The following is a 9,876-nucleotide window of genomic DNA, read 5'->3' on the forward strand; positions in this document are numbered from 1 at the left end:
AGGATTGCAAAGCATAGGACATTTAGGAGCATTAAGGGATGGTGTTTTATAAGGCATATGAAGACTGGGGTCCCAACATTACCCTCTCCCATGCCAAATTATAACCTTGTCAATGAAAACAACAATAAAACATCAGACAACTTTTCTTGGACAGAAGACAGGGTGATATCTACAAAGGTGTGACCTAAGATTACAAAATAACGTAAAAAAAAAACCAAAAACCAAAAAACAATAAAAAGGCAGTATCCACTAAGTGCAGCTGCTATACTTCTAAAGAGAGGTGAAGTATTATTTTTTAAAAGCTTGCCATTGGAGGAGTATTTTGTATCCACACACACACACCCATCCTAATTTCTTATCCCTAATGGGAAAGTCTATATGTAAAATGGATTGCTTTCTTCTGATTCTGAAGGCAGGGGAGACCGTGGTTTTTTGCTTGTTATGACAATATAACACATGCTGTTAAATGTAGTTATGGCTGCAGACTATGATACTGTATATCTTTTAAAAAGCATAGCCAGCCTGTTCCTATACAAGATATTTGATTATTTCAAAATAACTAAGTACTTACGAGCTGCTTTGATCTGTCTCTGTGTAGCCTTGTATCTCACATGGCCAAGTCCAAGAACTGCATAATGATCTTGGTTCTGGAAAAAAAACACAAAAGGGAGTCAAATTTGAAATGAAGCCAATATATTCCATCCCTTGTGTTCTGGTACCTTAATAAGCATTTCCCAAAGTGACATTTCATCAGGAGTCCAGTAAGAGGTTCTGTATAAACCAGGGTCTATGGTCAGGTAAGGTTGAGAAATGTGGATTAGGCTGGGTGCCATGGTTCATGCCTGTAATCCTAGCACTTTGGGAGGCCCAGGTGGAGGATTGCTTGAGCCCAGGAATATGAGGCCAGCCTGGGCAACAAAGTAAGATCTCTGTCTCTACAAAAAAATTTTTAAAAATTAGCTGGGTGTGGTGGTGTGCACCTGTAGTTCCAGCTACTCAGGAGGCAGAAGTAGCAGGATTACTTGAGTCTAGTAAGTAGAGGCTGCAGTGAGCTGTGATCATGCCACTGCACTCCAGGATAGGCGACAGAGCAAGACCCTGTCTTTTTTTTTTTTTTTTTAATGATTTTAAGATTTTATTTTATTTTTTTGAGACGGAGTCTTGCTCTGTTGCCCAGGCTGGAGTGCAGTGGTGCCATCTTGGCTCACTGCAACCTCCGCCTCCCGGGTTCAAGCAATTCTCCTGCCTCAGCCTTCCAAGTTGCTGGGATTACAGGTGCACACCACCACGCCTGGCTAATTTGTGTATTTTTAGTAGAGACAGGGTTTCACCTTGTTGGTCAGGCTGGTCTCGAACTCCTGACCTCAGGTGATATACCTGCCTTGGCCTCCCAAAGGGCCAAGGGATTACAGGTGTGAGCCACTGCACCCGGCCAAGACCCTGTCTTTAAAAAAAAGAAGAGACAGGCTGGGCATGCCAGCTTACGCCTGTAATCCCAGTGCTTTGGGAGGCTGAGGTGGGTGGATCATGAGGTCAGGAGTTTGAGACCAGCCTGGCTAACATGGTGAAACCCTGTCTCTACTAAAAATACAAAAATTAGCCGGGCGTGGTGGCGCCCACCTGTAATCCCAGCTACTCGGGAGGCTGAGGCAAGATAATTGCTTGAACCTGGGAGGCGGAGGTTGCAGTGGGCCAAGACTGCGCCACTGCACTCCAGCCTGGGCAACAGAGTGAGACTCCGTCTCAAAATAAAATAAAATAAAAAATAAATTTAAAAAAGAGGTAAATGTGGACTATTATACAGCCTCCTTGATGATTTGTATGCACAAAGGCCTAAGAAAGGCTCTGAGAAGTCCTGTAATTAGATTTAAAAAATAAACAAACAGAAACCTGTAAAACCTAGCATTTTCCAAACTTACTTGACCAAAGACCCCTTTTTTCTCTTAGCACCTGTTGATAGCTTATGGCCATCCTATGGAACTTATGGCTACATGTTCTTGTTTACTTATTATGTCACTGGAATATAAGCTGTGTGTAAGCAGTAATACTGTCTTGTTCAGTACAGTATCCTTGACACCTAGAACAGTATCTGACATGGTGTTTGATCCATATTTGATGAATGAAAATAAACTGAACAAGTGAATGAACTCTGCTACCTTACTCTGATACAATCTACTTCTTTCTATACCAAAGACCTTCTCCCTCTTATAGATCTCAACACTCCCCAGTTCTGTCTTTTCCCGACTCTGCCTTCTCCTGAAGTTACTATCTTCTCTCATTTTCTTTACTACCCAGCTTTGAAAGAGTACTTTACACTTTGATCCTACTTCATCACTTCCTAATCACTCTTCATTCACTGTAATCTCTTGCCTTCCCGATCATTTTACTCAAACTGCTTTCAATGAGGACACCGAAACTTTTAGTTTGCCAAATCCAATGGTTTTTTTTTTTTTTGAGATGGAGTTTCACTCTTGTTGCCCAGGCTGGAGTGCAGTGGCACGATCTCAGCTTACCGCAATCTCCACCTCCCAGGTTCAAGCGATTCTCCTGTTTCAGCCTCCTGAGTAGCTGGGATTATAAGCATGTGCCACCATGCCCGGTCCAGTGTTTTTTAAAATAATTTTTCATGTTATGTGATTGACCTCTTTCTGAAGCAGTGACACAGGTGACTCTTCCCACGCCCCTTTTTTTGAGATAGAGTTTTGCTCTTGTTGCCCAGGCTGGAGTGCAATTGTATGATCTCGGCTCACAGCAACCTCCACCTCCTGAGTTGAAGTGATTCTCCTGCCTCAGCCTCCCAAGTAGCTGCGATTACAGGCATGTGCCACCACGCCTGGCTAATTTTGTATTTTTAGTAGAGATGGGGTTTCACCATGTTGGTCAGGCTGGTCTCGAACTCCTGACCTCGGGTGATCTGCCCGCCTCAGCCTCCCAAAGTGCTGGGATTACAGGCATGAGCCACTGCACCCTGCCTCTTTTTCCCTCTTGCTCCTCCCTTAGTTTCTGGAAGAATACGCTGCCTGATGTTTAGGAAGTATTTCTTCAAATAACAAAGTGTCTTTTTCTTTGTTTTCTTTCTACTTCTGTCACCCTTCTTAGTATCTTCTGCTGTTTTTCCTCCTCTTCCTACCCCTTAAATATCCATGCTCCCCAATGTTGTCTTTTTCTTTTAAAATGGATGAGGTGGTGGGAGAATCAGCTAACACTTTCTGAGTGCTTACTTTTCTAAATGTTTTATACATATGCTTTAGCTTATTTAGTCCTCTAAACAACCAATGACATAGGAACTCTTATTATCCATTATTTGTTTGGCATTTATCATGCAGCAAGTACTAACTTAAGTGCTTTATAAGCATCCTTTTATTAATCCTCAAGGTAAACCTTTGAGCTGTTAACAATCTCACTGTAGCAACAAGGGAAATGAGGTACACACATATCTGGGAACTTTCCCAAGGTCGAAGTGCACCAAATGGCAGAACCAGATTTGAATTCAGGCACTCCAATTCCACAGCATACGCATTTAACTATTATACAAGTACCTACTAAAGCATTATCTATTTGTTTATACTTTTGTCCCTTGCTGTTGTCATTCAATTCCTCACAGCAACCACCACTATGTGCCAATGACTTCAAAAAGTCTTTGGCTGTAACCTCTTTTTGGAGTCATAGACCAATTTCTAACCATCTACTAGACAGCTTCACCACTATGGTACCAAAACCTCAGTCTTCACATAGTCAAACTTGGACACAAACAGCACCTCCCACAAACATTCTTATCCTCATCCCAGCATTGGTTACTGACCACACACTCTAGCAGGTCACTCAAGCGCTAATGCTGGGAAGGACCTCTGAATACTTCTCTTTGTCTTGTGCCACACAGCCAGGGTCACCAAAGCCTGTTAATGCTACCTCCAAAAAAGGCAAATCTGACCCCTCTTCCTCAAAACCCAGCCACATAGTAAGTTCAAGGATTCAGTCACAGGTCTGCCTTAGTGCACTAGCCCTATAACAGTAAACTATTCACTTCCCCTCCAGTCCCTTGCCCCCTTTCAAGCAATTTCCTGTACTGCCAAGGGAATTACTTTTCTAAAATTAGCTAAGAAACTTTTGATGGTATCTTACTGTCCCAAAAATAAATTTTAATTCCTTCTTTAGCATGGTATAAAAAGGACACAACAGAGTTTGGTCTAGTGTCCTTTTAAAGACACTAGATTTCTCATCACCATACCGCATGTACCCTATACGACTTATCAATTCCTCAAGAGGCACTACATATTCTTTTACTCCTTTGTGTCTTTGTATATCTTACTCCTTCTGCCCAGAATACTTTTCTCACTTCTCTGCTTCACTAATTGCTGCCTGTCCTTTTAAGACCGGTGCAAACATTATCTTTTCTGTGAACTCTTCCTGGATTTCTCCAGCAGAGACAGTATCTCATGGCTAGTGCTAATGCTCTCAAGACTTAGTAATAAACAGATGCTAAATCATAGTTATCTTGCTGAATCATCTTAAAACATGTTTATTAATGGAAAACTCATAAGAAAATTGTCTATGTCTAACAAAGCATCTGACTGAACAAAATATTCAGATATTAAATACCTTCCAGTCTTTGGGATCAAGTGTTTTCAGCATGGGAAACTCTTCCAACTGCAATTCTTCATCTTCTGATTCCTCGGATAACTCTTTCTTATCCTCCAGTTCCTGAAAAGAGGCAGAAGCATTTCTGTTTCTCCTCTTAACAAAAGCTTCAAACCATCTTCCCACAGGTTCAACTTGACAGAGTGTAGAGGCTGTGATTGAAAGTGTTAAGAGAGGCTTCAGTGTATCGCATGGAATAAATATGTTTCAAGGCAATTAATTTTTTCAGGAAATAAAATCAAAACAGTGATACCAGCATATACTTTTAAAACCACCGACTACGAAAATAATTGCAGTCATCCAGTTTACATGAGGGTTAGCAAGAAATTATCCTTTCCTAGTATTAAAGAGTATTTAATCAACCTCTTCCAGTTATCTGACAAAACAAAAAAAACTCAGTAATGTCAATGATAAATCAGTACTTTTTTGGGGATATGAGTAAGGTGAGGAACAGGAAGAAATGTTGCAAACTACTTTACTTTTAGACAAATTATTTATTTTTTTACTTTTTTTTTTTTTTGAGATGAAGTTTTGCTCTTACTGCCCAGGCTGGAATGCAATGGCGAGATCTCGGCTCAATGCCGTCTCCACCTCCCGGGTTCAAGTGATTCTTGTGCCTCAGCCTTCCAAGCAGCTGGGATTACAGGCATGCGCCACCATGCCCAGCTAATTTTGTATTTTTAGTAGAGATGGGGTTTCTCCATGTTGGTCAGCCTGGTCTCGAACTCCCGACCTCAGGTGATCTGCCTGCCTCGGCCTCCCAAAGTGTTGGCATTACAGGCGTGAGCCACTGCACCCACCTGGACAATTTTTTTTTTTTTTTTGGGACGGAGTCTTGCTCTGTCACCCAGGCTGGAGTGCAATGGCGCGATCTTGGCTCACTGAAAGCTCCGCCTCCCGGGTTCAAGCGATTCTCCTGCCTCAGCCTCCCGAGTAGCTGGGACTACAGGCACCCGCCACCACCCCCGGCTAATTTTTTGCATTTTTAGTAAAGACGGGGTTTCACCATATTAGCCAGGATGGTCTTGATCTCCTGACCTCGTGATCCACCCACCTCGGCCTGCCAAAATGCTGGGATTACAGGCGTGAGCCACCGCGCCCGGCCTAGACAAATAATTTTAATAAAGTAATAAATAGTGATAAATTGTCACGAAGAGCTAGCCTCACCAAAAATAAAAAATCTAAAAACAACTCAAACTATCTTTTTATTTTTTGAGACGGAGTTTTGCTCTTGTTGTCCAGGCTGTAGTGCAATAGCGCAATCTCGGCTCACTGCAACCTCCGCCTCCCGGGTTCAAACGATTCTTCTGCCTCAGCCTCCCAAGTTGCTGGGATTATAGGCGCCCGCCACCACGCCCAGCTACTTTTTTGTATTTTTAGTAGAGACAGGGTTTCACCCTGTTAGCCAGGCTGGTCTCGAACTGCTGACCTCAGGTGATCCACCTGCCTCGGCCTCCCAAAGTGCTGGGATTATAGACGTGAGCCACCGCACCCAGACAACTCAAACTGTCTTAATTATTAAAATCTTGAATATAGCTCTTAAAAATTTTAAGAATTCACTAACAAGAATTTGTCCTGAAAGCAATTTTCCAAGCAGCAAATGGGAATTTACTAATGCAGCTAAGCTGTAGTGGAACAAGCTCTCAATCTGAAACCAGACACTCTGGGTTTTAGACTAGGTCTGACAGTGGCTATGTGACCTGAAATGAATCAGGATGTCTTCACCTGTAAAATGGGAACAATACCTATTTATCTCATTCAGTTCCTAGGAAGCTTGAATGAGACCACAGAAACTCTCTGAAATTACAAACTTGTAGTAAAGGTATCATCTATTCCTGGGAAGTGGGGGTAAATCACTGTACATGTGTATACTAGCAATTCAAAAAAGGAAAATCCCTGAACAACTTATTTTAAGATTTCCTCCACCTTACACAGGAGAGGATTAAAACACTGTCAAAAAGGTACTACCTGTGTAGTATGGGTGTGTGGCTTTTAAGAACACTGCCTTTTAAGCCTTTTGCTCTAGTTGTAAGAGGCACACGGAGACACATAAATGCAACACGTGCCATGGGTTATGTTCAAAATCACATTCAACAAGCGCCTATGTGACTGGCTATGGGAATTACTGTAGATCACTGGACCTGAAGACTCTTAAGTTTACAATACTCATGACTGTCCTGGGCCATAAAACTAAAACCTACAGCAGCAGGACAAGTTTCACTTGTAATAACTGCCTTTCAAAGTCTACGCGGATCTTTTCAGCAGCACAGTCTTTGAACACCGAGTATGAGGAGCGGTGTCTGAGTTGTGACATTTAAAAAACAAGGCCGGAGCAAACGTAGAGAGGGAGAAAGTTGTTTAAGAGAGCGCCAGTAGCAAAGCTTTGTACGACCCCAGGCACGTGGGGTGCTCGCTGCGCGTAGTCTTTCCACCGTAGGCAAGGAGATGCTTATGAGAACCTTTCTGGGGTGCTGGGGGGTTCCGTCCCGAAATGCTCAGCCCAATCCATGAGTCAGCAGCGGCGAGAGGAGGAAGCAACGGTAGGAGCAAAAGGAAGGCACCCCTCACCCTCCTTCCTTCTAATCTAGGGTAGGATTACTTTAAAACACGGAGCAAAAAGGCACTCGTCACGGCCCCATACGGCCCCGGGGCTAGTCGCCAGGGTCAAGGGTAGAGAGAGCCCAGGGTTGCCGAGGCGGAGGACTGAGGCAGGGGCAGCTGAGGTGAGAAGGAACCGAGGTTGGGTGGGCACTTACCAGAGGTCAGAGCGTGGGTGATGGCGGTGCCCCGGCCGTCCGCGGCGCTTGGCAGAAGCAGCATGATGGCGCCGGGTCTAGCCCGGTGGGCGCAGCGGCTCACGTCCCGGGCGGAGGGCGCTTAGGGTCCCCTCCAGCTCTACCTCTCACTCCGAGCCTCGCGCCTTGGCTCTAAGACGCCCAGGAACCGGCGCATGGAGACGACCAGTAAGCACTTCCGGGATGGATCTTTCGTGGTGTGGAGGCCAGTCTCACACCCTCCCACCCCCGCCAACGTGTGCGGTAACCTAGTTCTATACTGACTGAGATCCGGCTGGAGACCAAGTCGCACGAGAGAATGGTTCCTAGGCGCATCAGTTTTCCTGTAAAAAGGATTATATTCCACGTCCCAGTGCAATACATAGAACATAACCTTTAAAAGCAGTTCTTTTTATATTATCTTTAAGTTCTTACTGCTTTATGTATTAATCTGAACCTAATCAGTGATTTTCCCAGGAGCGCTATACTTTTAAGTAAAAAATGAAAATACCTGTATGAACCAGTATCGACGACTAGTATATACATTTGCGGAGAATTACGTACGTGTATTTGTGATACATTTGTGTTTAACTTGATGATGATAATAGCAGCTAATATTTGTCGTGCTATTACTAATTTACCTGCATTATATCTTTTAATACTCGCTTGGAGAAGAAACCTCTCTCTAGTGTGTTAGATTGTATTCCAAGGCCAGCAATATTTTTACCTTGTTCTAATGAAGTTTTTATTCAAGATATTCCCAATTATAGGACTCTGGGACTTAATTTTTTAATGTATAATAAAATCAATTGTATTCCTACTATATGCTTCCTTCTAAGACTGCAGTCAAAAGCAAAAACTAGCAAAAACAAACAGTGGGTAAAGGCTCACCCCCAACAGCAGTATCTGAAACAGGTTCAATAAAATAAACTTGATATGCCACTCTTTAGCAAGGACCACCAGAAATTAGTAAATTAGAAAATAACTTACTAATTTCATTATATTTTCACAATTAAAGTTTTTAAATATATTATATATATATATATGTATATTTTTTTTTGTAGAGACAGGGTCTCACTATGTTGCCCAAGGTGGTCTTGAACTCCTGGCCTCAAGGGATCCTCCTGCCTCAGTCTCCCAAAACTCTGGGATTAGAGGCGTGAGTCACTGTGCCAGGCCAATTAAATACATTTAATTGGTCTGTATATCTGCTGCATGATAAAATTGTCACTTCAAAACTGACTTTTCAAAAATTGAACTAAGGGAGGCTGAGGTGGGAAGATCGTTGAGGCCGGGAGGTGGAGGTTGCAGTGAGCTGAGATCACACCATTGCGCTCCAGCCTGGGTAACAGTGAGACCCCGTCTTTAAAAAAAAAAAAATTGAACTAATCTTCTGCCCCAAAACCTCTTCCTGATCCCTACTAATGCAACCACTGTTAAAACATGCTCCAAGGTGCAAAGTAACCTGACTCCACTTTCTTCATATTAATATATTTTTTTCCTCACACCTCCTCCCATTCAATTTTACCATTAACTCTAACATGGGTTTTTGTTTTTTTGTTGTTTTCTTTTCTGAGACAGAGGCTTGCTCTGTCGCCCAGGCTGGAGTGCAGTGGCCTGATTTCGGCTCACTGCAATCTCTGCCTCCCAGGTTCAAGCGATTCTCCTGCCTCAGCCTCCCGAGTAGCTGGGATTACAGGTGCGTGCCACCACGCCCAGCTAATTTCTGTATTTGTAGTAGAGACGGGGTTTAGCCATGTTGGCCAGGCTGGTCTCCAACTCCTGACCTCATGATCTGCCTGCTTCAGCCTCCCAAAGTGCTGGAATTACAGGGGTGAGCCACGGTGCCCGGTCGGGGGTTTTGTTTTTTAAAAAAATTGTGCTAAAACACACATAACATGAAATTTACGATCTTCACCGTTTTTAAGTTTACAGTAATGTTAAGTACATTCACATTATTGTGTAACCACCCTACAAAACTATTTTTATCTTACAAAACTGAAACTCTATACCCATTTAATCTCTTACAAAACTGAAACTATGCCAGTGGAAAAAACTGTCCACTGGAAACCATCCTTCTACTTTGTCTTTAGGAATTTGACACCTCTAGGTACTTCATATTTGTGGAATCATATAGTATTTGTCTTTTTTGTGACTGACTTATTCACTTAGCATAATGTCTTCAAGGTTCATCTGTGTTGTAGCTTATACTAGAATTTCATTCCTTTTTAAGGCTGAATAATGTGTGTGTGTGTGTGTGTGTGTGTGTGTGTGTGTGAGCGCGCATGCGTGTATCACATTTTGTTTATCCATTCATATGTAGATGGACACTTGGGTTGCTTCCACCTTATGGGTATCATGACTAATGCTGCTTATGGACATGGATGTACAAATATCTCTTTGAGATCCTGTTTTCAGTTCTTTTGGATACACATCCAGAAATCGAATTGCTAGGTGGCATGGT

At 42.9% G+C, this 9,876-nt stretch overlaps 2 protein-coding genes across 5 annotated transcripts in view, besides 1 other annotated feature; one reads left to right on the plus strand and one right to left on the minus strand.

The window, feature by feature from the left end:
- Positions 1 to 7,603, minus strand: part of DNAJC2 (DnaJ heat shock protein family (Hsp40) member C2) — a 32,479-nt gene extending 24,876 nt beyond the window's left edge. For 3 of the 4 annotated variants that reach the window (NM_001129887.3, NM_014377.3, NM_001362668.2), the window contains exons 1-3: positions 7,395 to 7,603; positions 4,600 to 4,790; positions 572 to 647 (exon numbers count right to left, since the gene is read on the minus strand). In NM_001129887.3, the coding sequence (NP_001123359.1) occupies positions 572 to 647; positions 4,600 to 4,790; positions 7,395 to 7,458 (331 nt within the window). In that variant the 5' untranslated portion in view covers positions 7,459 to 7,603. The remainder of the gene's footprint in view (positions 1 to 571; positions 648 to 4,599; positions 4,791 to 7,394) is intronic. The other variant, NM_001362667.2, reaches the window with a different exon arrangement.
- Positions 1 to 9,876, plus strand: part of PMPCB (peptidase, mitochondrial processing subunit beta) — a 50,108-nt gene that overhangs the window by 39,730 nt on the left and 502 nt on the right. The gene's annotated exons all lie outside the window — the stretch shown is intronic.
- Positions 7,546 to 7,785: an enhancer, noted in NCBI's record as "active region_26442". NCBI's record gives its function as "activates an Ori minimal core promoter by ATAC-STARR-seq in GM12878 lymphoblastoid cells {active_cell/tissue: GM12878}" and the evidence as "EXISTENCE:reporter gene assay evidence [ECO:0000049][PMID:35858748]".

Source organism: Homo sapiens, chromosome 7 (assembly GCF_000001405.40).
Source record: "Homo sapiens chromosome 7, GRCh38.p14 Primary Assembly".
NCBI lineage: Eukaryota > Metazoa > Chordata > Mammalia > Primates > Hominidae > Homo > Homo sapiens.